The sequence below is a fragment of the Homo sapiens genome, chromosome 3 (assembly GCF_000001405.40).
Source record: "Homo sapiens chromosome 3, GRCh38.p14 Primary Assembly".
NCBI classification, from domain to species: domain Eukaryota; kingdom Metazoa; phylum Chordata; class Mammalia; order Primates; family Hominidae; genus Homo; species Homo sapiens.
In genome coordinates, this window is record NC_000003.12 from 17,200,453 (window position 1) to 17,217,363 (window position 16,911).

At 38.6% G+C, this 16,911-nt stretch overlaps 1 protein-coding gene across 62 annotated transcripts in view; it reads right to left on the reverse strand.

Annotated features, from left to right (window-relative positions):
• The window catches only part of TBC1D5 (TBC1 domain family member 5), a 585,470-nt gene that overhangs the window by 43,291 nt on the left and 525,268 nt on the right, over positions 1-16,911 (reverse strand). For all 62 annotated transcript variants that reach the window (XM_047449296.1, XM_011534283.4, XM_047449314.1 and 59 more), the window contains one exon: positions 13,755-13,918. In XM_047449296.1, the coding sequence (XP_047305252.1) occupies positions 13,755-13,918 (164 nt within the window). The remainder of the gene's footprint in view (positions 1-13,754; positions 13,919-16,911) is intronic.

Genomic DNA, 16,911 nt, shown 5'->3' on the forward strand with positions numbered 1-16,911 from the left:
CTGCACATGCAAGGGATCTAGGTTGTGTGCTCCTTATGAGAATCTAATGTCTGATGATCTGAGGTGGAACAGGGAACCTGTTTGATCCTGAAACCATGCCCCTGCAACCGCATCTGTGGAAAAACTGTTTTCCGTGAAACGGTCCCTGGTGACAAAGAGGTTGGGGACTGCTGCTATAGTTGGTAACAATTCTAAGGGAAATTGTCATCTTAAATAAAAAGGAAGTTTGGAAATTTGATTATATTACCTTCTGGTGATCCATACATTCAATGCTTTTTAAATCCTTTGGCTACACTGTAACATCACGGCTGAATAGGGTTTTAGTTGTTTTTTCAGATGTTTTAAAAAATTTCTCCTGAGCAACAAGCAGTACAAACATTCCATACCAAGGTCAATCTTATTCAAGCCAAGTACAATAGTTTAGTCAAATGCAACTTAAAGTCAATCTGATAAATTTGTAATGATAAACATGTGTATTAAGAGGATTAATAATTAGGCATGAATGGGGAACTCTGTGTAAATGACTTGGTGTGCTTGGTATTAATATTCTTATGGTCAAAAGAATTATTTGTTTTTTTCTCTTCTTATTAGTTCTTCATGTTACTGCTAACATGTTTTCCTGGTAAAATCCAAATTTTTTTTTATCATCACTGCCACAAATTAGAAAGGTCCTGATTTTTTCCAACAGTTGCAGTTCCCTCTTCATTAACTTAGGGCCTTCAAGAACTTAAAGCATGCCTTTAATTTAATTTACTCCCCAACTTCACCCTCTTTCAGTGCAGAATTTGGAGAGTGAAAAAAAACACGGCCCCTTCTCTAGGCAAATATGAACCCCAGACCAGGGTGTGCTGCTTAGTGAACACAGCGTGAGCTCGGTTTTAAGACCCTGGGTTGTCTCTTTCTCCCATGCTTCAGGCATGAGATTCCGGGTGCTTACTGCCAGCAATACTTCCAGGTGTATTAATTTCTGACACATGGACAACTTGGGGCAGAAAGCTGGGAGGGTAAATAGCAGAGATCAGGAAAAGAGAGGAAGCTTGGGTAAAGGTGCCTGATATGGTTTGGATTTGTGTCCCTGCCCAAATCTCATTTGGATTTTCATCCCTGCCCAAATCTCATCTTGAACTGTAATCCCCAGTGTTACAGCAGAGGCAGGATGGGAGGTGATTGGATCATTTGGATTACAGGGGTGGATTTCGCCCTTGCTGTTATTGTGATGGGTTCTCATGAAATTTGGTTTTTAAAAGTGTGTAGCACCTCCCCCTCACTTCCTCCTTCTCTGGCTGTGTAAGATGTGAATCCTTCCTCTTCACCTTCTGCCATGATTGAAGTTTCCTGAGGCCTCCCCAGCCACGCTTCCTGTACAGCATCTGGAACTTTGAGCCAATTAAATCTTTTCTTTATACTTTACCCAGTCTCAGGTAGTTATTTATAGTAATATGAGAATGGACTAATACAGAAAATTGGTACTAGGAGTGTGGCAGCATTGCTACAAAGATACTTGAAAATGTAGAAGTGACTTTGGAACTTGGTAACAGGCAGAGGTTGGAACAGTTTGGAGAGCTCAGAAGAAGACAGGAAGATGAGGGAAAGTTTGGAACTTCCTGGAAACTTGTTAAACTGTTGTGACCAAAATGCTGATAGTGATATAGGCAATGAAGTCCAGGCTGAGATAGTCTCAGATAAAGATGAGAAACTTATTGGGAATTAGAGTAAAGGTCACTTTTGTTATGCATTAGTAAAGAGACTGGTGGCATTGTGCCCCTGCTCTAGGGATCTGTGAAACTTTGAAATTGAGAATGACAATTTAGGGTATCTGGTGGAAGAAATTTCTAAGAAGCAAAGTGTTCAAATGCAGCCTGGCTGCTTCTAACAGCATATGGTCATAGGCATGAGCAAAGAGATGATCTGAAACTGGAACTTATACAACAGGGAAGCAGAGCATAAAAGTTTGGAAAATTTGCAGCCTGTCCCTGTGGTAGAAAAGAAAAATCCATGTTCCTGGGAGGGATTCAAGCTGGCTGCAGAAATTTGCAAAGTAAAGAGGGGTGAATGTTAATAGCCGAGACAATGTGAAAAATGTCTCAAAGGCATCTCAGAGACCTTTGTGGCAGCTGCTTCCATCACAGGCCTAGAGGCCTAGGAGGGAAGAATGGTTTTGTGGGCTGGGCCCAGGGCCCTGCTACCCTGCACAAACCTGGGACACTGCTCCTTGTATCCCAGTTGCTTCTGTTCCATCCATGGCTAAAAGGGCCTAAGATATCGCAGGCTGTTGCTCCAGAGGGTGCAACCCATAAACCTTGGCAGCTTTCACATAGTGTTAAGCCTGTGGGTGTTGAGAGGACAAGAGTTGAGGCTTGGGAACCTCCACCTAGATTTCAGAGGATGTATGGAAACTGCTGGATGGTGGAAGTTGGCTATAGGGCTGAGCCCTCATGGAGAACCTCTACTAGGGCAGTGCAGAGGGGAAATGTGGGATTGGAGCCTCCACACAGAGTCTCCGCTGGGGCACTGCCTAGTGGAGTTGTGACAAGAGGGCCACTGTCCTCCAGACCCCAGAATGGTAGATCTATTGACAGCTTGTACTGTGTGCCTGGAAATGCCACAGTCACTAAATGCCAGCTTGTGAAAGCAGCTGAGGGGGCTGTACCCTGCAGAGCCCCAAGCAGGGAGATCCCCAAGGCCTTGGAAGCCCACCCCTTGCATGAGTGTTGTCTGGATGTCAGACATGGAGTCAAAGGAGATCATTTTGGAGCTTTAAGATTTAATGACTGCCCTGCTGGGTTTCAGACTTACATGGGGCCTGTAGCCCCTTTGTTTTGGCTGATTTCTCCCTTTCAGAATGGGCATATTTACCCAGTGTCAGTACCCCACTGTATCTTGGAAGTAACTAGTTTTTAATTTTACAGGCTCATAGGTGGAAGGGACTTGCCTTGTTTCAGATGAGACTCTGGACTGTGGACTTTCGAGTTAATGATGAAATGAGTTAAGACAGGACTGTTGAGAAGGGAGGATTATCTTTTGCAATATGAGAAGGACATGAGATTTGGGAGGAGCCAGGTACAGGATAATATGGTTTGGATTTCTGTCTCCACCCAAATCTCATCTTGAATTGTAATCCTCTGAGTTGGAGGAGGGCCTGGTGGGAGGTGACTGGATCATGAGGTGGATTTCCCCCTTGCTATTCTCGTTATAGTGAGTTCTCACAAGATTTGGTTGTTTAAAAGTGTGTACCACCTCCCCCTTCAATCTCTCTTTCTCCTTCTCCAGCCTCTTCTTTGCCTTCCGCCAAGATTGTAAATTTCCTGAGGCCTCCCCAGCCATGCTTCCTGTACAGCCTGAAGAACTGTGAGTCAATTAAGCCTCTTTTCTTTATAAATTACCCAGTCTCAGGTAGTTCCTGATAGCAATAAGAGAATGGACTAATACAGTGCCCTAGCCTTCAACTGACTGTCTGGGTATAGAAGCTCTAGCTATGAGGAACAACCAAAAGGGAGTTCCTTAGCCCTAAGTTTTCAGGGGCAAAGTGAAGGCCACCTGCCTGATACAGATCCCCCCTTTATCAACAGGCCTAGAATTTCTATGACAGAACTAAAGCCATTCTTTCTGCAATGAAAGCCCAGTGGATTAAAAATATAACTTCCTGGAAAAGTTTACACAGGTGTTCAAAGGATAAATGATGAGATGCCAGGGACAAGAGGTTTAAGAGCAGGGAGACACTGTGTAGGAGAGGGTGGTGATGCCACTGAGGGGGAAAGAAGAGGACAACCATGCAGACTCCGCAATCTGGTCTCTGGCCTTGGCTGACCTCCAATTGCCCAGACAAGTCAAAGCCCTCTTTTCCTTCCCTGTCATGCACATCTGCACTTTAGGGTACAAATAACTGTCCCCAAGGCAATGTGGCACTGAAAGAATATACAAATGTCAAGTTTCAAGAAAGGTCACTAGAAAGAAGCAAACGCTATCAATGACACATTTAATTTAGCATGATTCAAACCCACAAAATATTTCTGGCCTGGGATTGTAAATATTTCTAATTGCTTTACTTGAGCTTTCCCCAAACCATTGTCTATGCCTCCCGGGCAGTATTCAGCATGGGTACAATCTGGCATCTTTGCATTTTATATAGAGGATGAAGATAAAGATAAGTGATGGAGGAAGAAGACCCAGCATGAGGTGAATGAGTGTTTCACTCAACCCAAAGGGCACTGTTCTGCAAAGGACATTGCAGCACTCTATTTCCTGTGATTCTGCTTTCACAGCCTTCTCAGATTTTTTTTTTAATTTAAAATAAATGTATTGCACCATAAGGATTTTAAAAAGTTGGTTGTAAAACCTGTTTACAAAAGCTAAATTAAAATGTCATGCTAAAACTGTTGAAAATAGAGGGCTTTTAATGATGCTCCCTTTGATGTTCACATTTCTTTGCAATAGAGTTACATGATTTGGGTGATGCAAAAAGATGGAGAAAGAAGGAAAGAACTCTCTCACAAAGATATATAGTCTACTCTTCCTGACCTTGAGTACGTTTACTGGCAGACAGATTGTAAACAAGGTTTACAAAACATCGAATGACTAAATGTATGTTTCAAATATCCAGGTTAATTTGGCCTTAGATTAAAATTACTATCATGAGACTTAAACTGCTGATGTTTAAATTCATTTTATATCTATTCATTTCAATAAACTATACTAAATGGGAATATATTTTAAATGAGACTGTATTTTATTCCAGTTATCATTAACACTACTGATTAAACAAGAAGAGATTACATATATGTATTTTTCACTTGAAAATCCTATAATTAGATGAACTCTAGATTCCAGTTTTCAATTCCATCCCTAAGCTCATAAAGAAATCCACTGAAGTCAATGCTTTCCACATAACATGTTTTCCTAGGAAGTATACATCACTGACTGAAAAGAAAATCAGATAACTAGGAAAATTCTAGTCTTCTGGGAAGGCTGCTCTGCTCAATTTCTCCCTTTCAACCACCAATTTAACTCCAGTTGCCTGAAAATCTACCAGTAAAATATGACTGATGACAGCAGAACTGGCTCTTTTCAAATGCAAATCCTTCAGGAAAGGATTAAATAAACCATTTTGGCAATTAATACTTCAAGCGTAATTTACCTATCAAATTGTTGGCTGCCTCATCACATCCCCCCAACTACTGGTCCTCTGTCATGAGCCTCTCGTGACCCTTCTCCTTACCAGAGATTGGTAAGGAGTGGGCATGGAATTTAATTCTGGTCAGTGATATGGGAAGGAAAGCCTGCTGGGGAATTCCCAAGTAGACTTCTCTAGAAGGGCTGTGCATGCACGTGTGTGTGATATAATTGGCTGTGTCAGCCCGCTTGAGAGAACACGATGAGAGCAAGTTGAAGATAAAGCTACCACACTAAGGATGGCAGAGTGGAAAGATGGTGATGCTACTCAACAGCTGAATAATCCAACCGTAGACCTATTTCAGGACTCTTGTTATGTGAAATAATAAACAACAAATTTCCTCATTTGATATAATACTTTCTCTTATTTTTACCCAAAGCAACTTGATACAATTCTAACTACTTTAGATGTGTCAGGGGATGTGAGGGAGAAGAGAACTCCTATAGAAGGTATTGTTGACTACCTGCTCAATATCCGCCACTACTACCTGTCCTAGGAAGCTATTTTCCTAAGGGAAAATAACGTTTGTATTTAATGGGAGAAGAAATACATCAGTGGTTCAGATCTATCTCTCACCAACACAGCCCATGGTGGTCTGTCATCTAACACCATTTTTTTACTGTCTTTACTGTTCATATGGCATTTAATCATATTATGCATCTCATGTGGATGAGATATTTTAATTTAGTTTAATTACTTAACTTTTCCCCCTTCCAATTTCACTCTAAGCATCTTCATTAGGATTGCTCTCTTATATTTCTTAAACAGATATAATGTCTTAAATTATAATTTCTAGATCATGGCCTGAAATAGGTTAGGCAATTCTCCAGTTTTCTAGAAGTAAGAGTCTGCTTTCAAATTCGTTTTCATTTATCTGACACTTTTTGGTATTTTGTCACGATAAAGAATAGATGAATATTACAAAAACAAATTATATTTGTATGACCATAGTATACGTTCAAACTACCAAAGGGCAATGACGAATGCACACAGGGGTCACAGGGGTCATAAAGACACAGGATGGTCACCCCCCTGTAGTGCTGTGAGCCTTCAGGTAAGGGAGTATCTCATTATGCATCCTGTTTTATGCAGAGACTTTCAGCTCAGACCTTTTTTGATTTCCTGTGGTTTAGAGAGGATTCTGAACCATGGATACTTTCAGATCTTTGAAGGTTGGTATGTATTATAATTATTACAAATCATACCAAAATATCACGCAGTTTATCAGGAAATTTACAAAAATACTTCTAGTTGGCTGGTGTGCTTAAATATTATAACTTATTCACATAGACAAGTCAGTTTTTGAGTTTTTCTTTTTATTTGTTTATTGAGGCAGGGGCTTGGCTCTGCTGCCCAAGCTGGAGGTCAGTGGCACAATCACAGCTCACTGTAGACTTGAACTCCTGGGCTCAAGTGATCCTCATACCTCAGCCTCCCAAGTAGCTGGGACTACAGGTGCATGCCACTATGCCCAGCTAATTTTTTTGTTAAATTTTTTGTAGACATGGAGTCTCACTATGTTGCCTAGGCTGAGAATTTTTCTTATACTCTATTTTTTGTATACTTTAACCTTAGCAAAGATATTCTTAGAAAATGATTTGGCAACAATCATAGAACATGACTAACAGTGCTAAAAAAAGTAAAAATTTATTTAACAGAAGAATGGCCACCTAAAAATAGACTTCTAGAAAGCTAAGTATTGGAAGTCATTTATATTATCATGTAAAATAAAGCATAAAATTAAAAGTATCAAAATGTTTTACTTTCTCTTCAAGACAAACCAATACCAATCCTCAAAATAATAGTACTAACAATAATGAAGTGAGGTCAATTTTAAAACTTTCTACTAGTTTTCACATTTCAGTAAAGAAGTATAATGATGTCTTTTATAAAAATCTGGCACAAGGCTTAATTGTTACCTCTTTAAAGACTAAGCTGAATCTTGCCCTCTTTCATTATATGGCCAAATCATGGGCATTAACAGGAATAAATGTGATACTTCCTTTTTATCTAAAGAAGATAGGCTGTGGATTATAGAAAGGGTATGTGTGATACATAAAAAGGCAATATTAAGAGAAAACAAGTTCTACAACACACTATATGATGCTTGTCCAGGATATGTCATACCTATATAGATTTTGACAATAATTTCTCAAAACCGTTACAAGCAGATTTTACTGTACTTAGACTGATAGCTACTACTATATTATTTTAGGTTTTATGTCTCTTTCTACCACTATTTTGGCAATTAACATAAACAGTTTCTTGACCCTGAACCACTTTAAAAGATAAACTGAGTCTTCAAATCTGAAAGGTATCATCATATAGTTTAAGGGACAAGAGACCCAAACGAAGAGATGTCTTTGCTTTCATTTCTGGCCACTGGTTTGTGTAAGAAATTTAACTGAAAAGCTATCTTGAACTTTTTTGAGGATATGGAATATCGCTGTATCACATCACACTGGCCTGGAAACGAAAGCAAATTGGATCCATGTATGGTAGGTACCCAGTCATAGGTTCTGGTGTCCTGGGACCACTCTAGTGGCAGCAGGCGGCTCCCATGGGAGAATGAGTCCCGGCTATGGGCCTAAGCATTTTCCAACTGTGCACTGTTGGAAGCTTAGAAGCTTAGATCAGCAAAAGCTGATTTCTCACTCATACTTCATGTCTATCATGAGTTAGCAGGGAGGTTCTGTTCATGGTGTCACAGGAAAAGAGAGCTGTGGATGGTCTTGCATTGACAATACATATATATCACTTTCAGTCACAACACAGTAGAGAGAACTAGTCATATGATTCTGACAGATCATAGGGACAAGGAGGCGCAATCCGATTAAGTGCCCAGAATGGGCGAGAACTGGCAAAGTGTACTGACTTAACACACTATTTAATAAAATAATAAGATAAAACTATTACTTGGAAAACCATGAGCTTATTTATCTTAAAAATTTCTGCCTACTTCCTTCCCCAAAGTTAGCAAATATACTAAATTTTGAATGATTACTTGCATTCTGTCTCTTGGTTCACAGCAGGTCTATGTAGAGAGTTAGACTTACTTTATTTCTATTTTTACTCAACTTCTCAGTTTTAAGTTAAAGTACCATCATAAAGAAAAGTAATTAATTGGTGTTGGAGACTAATCCATATGCCACCAAAATATGATAGAATGCAAATGAAACCTGTCTCCATATGCCTTTCTCATTTGTTATTCTCTTACTCTGGTTCTTCATAGACACGTTCTTTGTACAGGCAGATCATCTCCTCTTCTAATTTATTATGCCAATACATTCTACTTTGCTGTAATTTTTAGTTGTTATTTTTAATCTAAGTTATATATGTAACACTTACATAAGTGTTAATAGAGTGAAATGGTCAATACAATGAAATGGTGCTTTATACAACTGTTCCTGTTATGAAGAACAGTTCCCACAACCCGACCCTCCACTTCTTTCTCCCCAGAAACAACCATTTTAAATTCTTTTACCCATTTTGTTTTTTCACCTCTATATCATCTATGTATCTATGTATCTATCTAGTCTATCTAAGACAAGCTCTTGCTCTGCATCCCATGCTGGAGTGCAGTGGCACAGTCACTGCTCACGCAGACTTGATCTCCCAGACTCAGGTGATCCTTTTACCTCAGTCTCCCAAGTGGCTGGGACTACAGTTGCATGCCACCATACCTGGCTAATTAAAAACAAATTTTTTTTGTAAAGACAGGTCTCACTATGTTGCTCAGGCTGGTCTCGAACTCCTGGACTCAAGCAATGCTCCCAACTCAGCCTCCCTAAGTGTTGGGATTACAGGCGTGAGCCACCACAGCTGGCCTTTCTCTCTAACTTATCTAGCCACTTCTTGATTTCTCTCGAGAGTATTATCCCCTGATTTCCCACTATGGAAGACAACCTGCTCCCTCTGCTCTTCATGCAAGCACATAGTTCCCACGCTCCATCTTCTCAACAGGTATAGTGTGATTCTGATTAGATTCATATTCAACAGGCTTACATTATAATGTCTATGTAAATTCTAATCCCAGCTCAGTTATAAGGTTTATCATAACCTTTCTTTCTTTTCCTACACATACTTTGTTTTCCTTTGGTGTTACCAATTGTCCTTTTTTGGGGTTAGTTTAGCTTTTACAAAGTTATCACCCAAACTCATGCCTAGTTGTATAAATCTCTTAATTTGTTAAAATATAGTAGTCATTCTTTCAATTTTATCTTTTTGAATAAATCTTTCTGGAACCTTCCAACTTGCTCCAATCTGGGCTTGCTACTACTTTCTGGGTCTGCTATTTAGCAGTGCTATAGTCTTCGGATCTACAAACATTATCATTCTGGGGATCTTTTTGTTTTGCTTTGGATCCTCTATTTTCTAGTTCTCAGGCTCCTCCTCCTTAGTTTATGTCCTCATTTTTGTACAGCATATCCTCCAGTGGATTCCCAGGGTACATGAGAATCATTTTTTTGAATCTTTAATGTCTAAACATGGCTTTATTTTATGCTCAAAATTAACTACTAGTTTAGACAGATGTTGAATCTAGGTTAGAAGTAATTTTTTTTCAGAACTTTTTTTTTTTTTTTGAGACGGATTCTTGCTCTGTCGCCCAGGCCTGAGTGCAGTGGCGCGATCTCGGCTCAATGCAACCTCCACCTCCTGGGTTCAAGTGATTCTCCTGCCTCAGCCTCCCGTATAGCTGGGACTACAGGCACCCGCCACCATGCCTGGCTAATTTCTGTATTTTTAGTAGCGATGGGGTTTCACCATGTTGGTCAGGCTGGTCTCGAACTCCTGACCTCAGGTGATCCACCTGCCTCAGCCTCCCAAAGTGCTGGAATTACAGGCATGAGTCACCACGCCCAGCCATTTCTCAGAACTTTCAAAGTATCGCTCCATTGTCTTGCTTTTGGTGTTGCTACTGAGAAGTCTGTAGCTATTTTAATTCCTCATTCGTTGTTAGAATCCTTCTTTTCCAACTCTACAAGTCAGTAAAATTCTTTTGTTTGCAGATTTCTGAACTTTTTCAGTAATACATCTGAGTGTAGGTTTGTTTTTTCTTGTGTGGGTCAGTCTATGGACTTTTTCCTACCTTAAAACTCAGTTATTTTATTAATGGAAAAATTTCTCGAATTGTATTTTTCATATTTGCTTTCTTTTATTTTCTCTGTTCACTCTGAAACTCCTATTTTAAAAAATTTCTGGGCCAGTTCTCTAATTTTCTTATGTTTTTTCTCTCTTCTATTTATTTGTTTTATATTCTATTTTCAGGGGAGATTTCCTCCACTTTCTCTTCCAACTCTTCCACTGAGTTTTACATTTTAGAAAAATGTATACATTCGAAAAGGTATCACATTAGAAAAAATATAACATTTAGAGAACAAAAAAATCTATTAAAATATGATTTTTGTTTTCTTGTTCTGCATAGCCTGTTTCCTTCCCAGTTGCTTTTTTCTGTTTTTGTCTTTCATTATCAAATCCTCTCTTCAAGTGTCTGGTGATCTTTGGCTGTCTTGTTCATATAAAATAGTATGAACTAAAAAGCTAAGAGGAAGTTCTGTGTTTGGATGGAGCTCATTAATGGTGGGATCCACTAAGAAGTAACTGGCTGTTTCCTTGGAGCACTCCTAGGGTGAGTATATTTATAGCTGTGTATACGTGTCTTTTGCCTAGAGAAAACCCTTCCAAATCTCCTGCCTGAAGGGCTATACATACTGGTGCTCTGGAAAGCAAGTGGCGGAGGCCTGGGGTCTCAAATCTAGCATTTAAGTATATTCATTACCCCTTTTCCAGTAGGGTGGTTCACATTGGAATGTGCCTGATCTCTCAGACCACAGACATTTTGTACGCTTTTCAGAGAATTAAATTTTCAGTCTTTTGCTGACATAGGGAAGGGAATCTAATTCCTCTTTCAGAAGCTTCTGACCAGTTGTCATGTCTTCAGTTCTACCTTCATCTTCACTTGCAGCTCCTGAGCTTCTGGAGAATTTTACAATGTAAGTCAAGCTGCTTCTTTGTTTTTTGCCTACCACTGACTTAAGGTTCAGCTTTCTTAGGCTGCTTAGTTGTCACTTGTCATCTGTTTTCCAAGTAACAATATTTTTATTGCTACTGTTTTTTCTTGTTTTCTTATTCTTTGAGGGTTTATCTAACTGCCCTTGTTGTCCTTGCAGTGGAATTTTAGGAGGGAACAGAGCTAAATGCTTGCACTAAAGGTGCCAGGTTTAAACTAAAGTTCCTCTCTGCTCTTTTATATACTACAGAATCACAGTTCCTACATGTTGAAGGGATCCCTAAGAGGGCAGGTAGTAAACTCTTCAGAGAGCAAAAATGTTTAATTTGCAGATAAGGTGGTTAAAACGCCAGAAGCTGAGTGTCTTGCCCCAAGACATACAAAGTCACACAGATAGAGAACATGATATTCTATGTACCTTAAATAATTATCTCTCAAAGGTTAATAGTTTGTTTGTTTTTCTAATTTAGGATAATTTCAGCTATAGCTAGATCCTTTTCTGTATTACCTTGGCATCCTCTTCCACTGGGCAGATGAGATCTTATTAAGATATTAGGTGTTAAACTACAGTCATGTGCCACATAATGATGTTTTGATCAATGACAGACCACATACATGATGGTGGTCCCATAAGACTATAATGGAGCTAAAAAATTCTATTGGCTAGTGACATCATAGCTGTCATAATGTCATAGTGCAATGGATTAAGTGTTTGCGGTAATGCCAGCCTACTGTGCGGCCAGTCATATGTAAGTATGGCACATACAATTATGTACAGTGAATAATAATAATCGACTGTGTTACTGGTTTATGTATTTACTACATTATACTTTTTATCATTATTTTATAATGTACTTCTAGTTATATATATATATAAAAAAAGAGTTAACTTTAAAACAATGTCAGGCAGGTCCTTCAGGAAGTATTCCAGAAGAAGGCATTGTTACCACAGGAGTGATAGCTCTATGAGTGTCACTGCCCCCAAAGACCCTCCAGGGGGACAAAACGTGGAGGTGGAAACAATGATACTGATGATCCTGACCCTGGTTAGGCCTAGCCTAATGTGCGTGTCCGTTTTTAACAAAAAAGCTTAAAAAGTAAAATAAAAAAATTTAAAAATAGAAAAAAGCTATAGAATAAAGATAATAAAAAGCATTTTTGTACATCTATCAAATGCGTTTGTTTTGAGCTAAGTGTTATTACAAAAGAATCAAAAATTAAAAAAATAAAAGTTTATAAAGTAAAAGTTATAATAAGGTAAGATTAATTTATTTTGAAGAAAGAACTATTGTTTAAATAAATTTAGTGTAGCCTAAGTGTACAGTGTTTATAAAGTCTACAGTAGTGCACAATAATCCTAGACCTTCACATTCACTCACTGCTCACTCACTCACTCGCCCAGAGCCACTTCCAGGCTCCATTCATAAGTGCCCTAGACAGGTGTACCATTTTTTTTCCTGTATACCTTACCTTATATTTTTCTGTACCTTTTATATGTTTAGATACAAAAATACTTAACATTGTGTTATAATTGCCTGCAGTATTCAGTACAGCACCATGCTATACAGGTTTGTAGCCTAGGAGTAACAGACTATACCATACAGCTTAGATGTGTAGTAGGCGGTACCATGTAGTTTGTATAAGTACACTCTATGATGTTTGCACTATGATGAAATTGCGTAACAACACATTCCTCTGAATGTATCATTGTTGTTAAGCTATGCATGGCTGTTATAAAATGTGGTTAAACGTGAAGTTGGCTTATAATAATTTCAGACACAACCAAGTTTTTAAAGCAGTGGATATGCCTTAGCTATATCCTTTTGAGAAATGTATATAAAGAATTTTACAGGCTGGAGGCAGTGGCTCATGTCTGTAATCCCAGCATTTTGGAAGGCCAAGGCGGGCAGATCACTTGAGCCCAAGAGTTCCAGAGCAGCCTGGCCAATATGGCAAAACCCCATCTCTAATAAAAATTCACAAATTAGCCAGGCATGGTGGCACACACCTGTAATCCCAGCTTCTCAGGAGGCTGAGGCATGAGAATCGCTTAAACCCAGGAGGTGGAGGCTGCAGTGAGCCAAGATTAAGACTCTGTCTCAAAAAAAAAAAAAAAAAAAAAAAAAAGAATTTTACAGCGTATCAAAATAGAATTTAAATGTAGTTTGTATAGCTTTTTAAATGGTAAATCAATTATTTTTAATTTTCAAGAAATATTTAAAATGGAAAAAACACCTTGGTTTGTTTCAAGTTCCATCATTTATCTGTTAAATTTTATAAGAAAACACAGGCTTTGACAAAAAGGCATTTGTAGAGAAAAAAAGGACTGGGATTTGGGAAAGATTCAACTTATTTTAAAATGATGCTACTTTTTTTTTTTTCCAGTGTAATATAGGCTACAGCCTTAAAATATTACTAAAGTAAAATAATAAAATACTTTTGATAAAATAATTCCTTTTAGTCCATAAAAGTTTTAAGAGCTTTATAAAACTGGGCACTAACAGAGCTTTCATAAATGCAGCACTCTAGAGAAGAAAATGAAGAACGAAGAGAAAACTGTCCTTAAATACTTACAGATTCTTTTCTGCCCATAGTTTTGCTGTGTGAGCGAGAACGTGAGATGTTGCTAAAAAAGGAATCTTTTTTAGTAGCAGATGAAGGTGGAGAGCCAGTGAATTCTCTTCCTCCAGGCAAACTCTCAACGCTTGGAGATGAACTGATGTTTTTAGAACTTAGCCCTGTAAGAAAAATTAAGTAGCAATAATGAAACACCAGACTCTTTCACTAAGCTATTCGATCTACTGTTTTTAATAAATGATGATCAATTATGATGCCACTAGGTTGATACTATCAACATAATGACACTATGGAGTATTAAAATGCATGCATTTTTATGTATCAGAATAGCCACTGGTTTTCAAAAAAACAGTGAAGGTATCTACCACTATAGTTTTCTATGTTTTTTATACTATGATTATCCAAGCATTGCACACATATAAAAAGAACTAAAAAAAAAAAAAAATCAAAGTTTCAGTAAACAATGGTTAAATGACTGGGTGTTTCTTCACTAATGGAATAATCCCTTAATTACAGAAACCAGAATCTATTATACTGCACTTTACATTAGCAAGATTAAAAAATCCAAATCTTTGGCCAAAGTTTTTCAAAAAAGCATCTCTCCTCTTCCCTCTGGTAAGGGAAAGTGTCACTGAAAATTCAGGAACATTAACATTTTAGCAAAAACCTGAAGAAGGTGAAGTACCCGCTTTGCAGCAAATATGCAAGAACAGCAAGTGCTAAGGCCCTAATGCAGGATCTTCGGTGTTCAAGGAGATCACAAAGTGACCGGTATGGTTAGAGCTAAGAGCAAGGAGGAGAAGGGTGAGAGATGAGGTTTGAGAGCAAGCAGGGGGATCAGAACAGGTAGGGATTTGTAGATGATTTTGATTAGTTTTACTCTGAGAAGGGAAGCTATGGGATGTCACTAGAGGGTTTGAGGAGAGGAGTGACATGATTTGACTTACATTTTAAAAGGATTGCTCTGGCTGTTGTATTGAGAACAGAATCAGAGATGGTCAAGTGGGGGTGAGTCAGGGGGAACAAAGGCAAAAGCAGAGGAACCAATTTTTGCTAACGCAAAAATGTAAGTACTCAGAATGATCATGACTTGGTGGTGAGAGGTGGTCACATTTTGGACAAAACTGACTGGATTTACGGATGAACCCATTATGAGTATGAGAGAAAGAGAAGAGTCAAGCTCAACTTCCAATTTTTGGCCTAAGCAAGAAGAATGATGGAGCGGCTATTTACTGAGGTGGGGAAGAGTGAAGGGAAGCAGGTTTTAGGAATAAATCAGCAGTTTAGTTTTAGACCTGCTGAGTCTATGGTGCCTAGTCAGATATCCAAATAGAGATGCCACATAAGCAGTGGGAAATGAGTCTGGATTTTAGGGGAGAGATGTGAGCTAGAGATATACATTTGGAAGTCAGTACCATAGAGACTGTATTTAAACATGAGGTTATCAATGGAGAAGGGATAGAGAGAAAAAGGATTTAGGACCACAGATTGGCCCCTTGGAAACGTTACAATTTAAAAGTCAGAGATATCACAAGAAAGCAGCAAAGCTGACTGAGAAGCAGCAGCCAGAAGTAGGAAGAAAATCAAGTAGATAATAAGAGATACTTTATAGACTAACATTCTCCAATCTTGGGTCAAAGTTGTTACAATATAGTTAGAATAGTAATTATCTACTCCCAGTACCTGGGAGTCCCTGATTGTCCCTGATCTCAAGACAATTTTATTACACTGACGCTTCCTCTGCATTAAATATCAGGGATTCAGATTAAGTTTCTGTCCTCCCAGAGTGCAGAACCTAGGGGTAAGGAGGTAAATGATAAACCAAGAATGCTAACCAGAATGTTATATTTCTTAGGAGAGAGCTATTACCTCTCCCTTGGATAGAAGGAGAGAGTCAAGCCACATTTCAGAAGAAGTGTGGCAGATTTGGAGGGCTGATACATCCCTCTTTAAGGAAATATTTGTGACTTCAAGGAAGATGGTTAGCTGATAGCCTTTAGCTATTAGATTGTTCAGGATCTGCCTCAGGTTTTGAACTAACATCATGCTCTTCTCAGGGTGGTTCCCAGCTCGTGATTGGGAATAAATGGTCTACCCATTTCCAGTCAATACAGGACTCCTTTAATAGGAAATCTTGCCTGCAGAGTTCCCCTTTGAACTGGCAGAGACTTGTTAGATCTGTATCATGGTCTGCCCCCATCCCTCTGCCCAACTCTGATTCCTCCTCTTTTCCTTTCACCTGTGTTATTCCCCCAATAAACTTTCTGTACTTCTATCAGGGTCTGCTTCCTGAAGAATCCAACCTGTAATGCATGATATTGGAGCTGAGCCTTGAAGGACCCCTGAGGTTAGGAAAGAGTAGAGAACAGGCCCCAAGGCCTAGAAGTATCCTATGCTTATAAGGGCCTAGACTATGAAAATTCCACCTAGGCCTTTATTTCTTCCCTTCTCTCCCTCCATGTTTCCCACCCACCACCAGGACTCTAGGCCTTAACTTCCCAGGGATACTTTTTCACGGTAATAATCTCAATAACACGGGGTCCTAGAATATTAGAACCGAAAAAGATCTCAGGAACCACCTATTATTTTCTTTTTTTAAAATTACCCCACTTATATGTGAATACACTTTCATTATAAACAGATTAACTGTGAAAACAACACTTTGAGATATAATTCATGTCATAACTTTCACCTTTTAAAAGAATATAATTCAGTGTTTTTTACAGTACACTTACAGAGATGCATGACCATCAAAACTATCTATTTTAGAACAACTTAATCACTGAGAAAAGAAAACTCATGGCCATTAGCAGTTATTTCCAGTATACCCCCTCTTCCCATAGTCCCTGCAATCACAATCTACTTCTGGCTCTATGAATTTGCCTTTTCTAGACATGTCATGTAGATGGAGTGATACTATATGTGGTCTTCTGTGACTGGCTTCTTTCTCTTGGGACAGTGCTTAAAAGTTCATCTATGTTATAGCATGTATTAGCACTTCATTCCTTTTAGTTGCCAAATAATATTCCATTGTATGGGTACCACATTTAGTTTATATACTCATCAGCTGATGAACATTTAGCTTATACACATTTTTGGCTATTATGAATAATGCTGCTATGAACATTCCTGTTTAAGTTTTTATGTGGACATA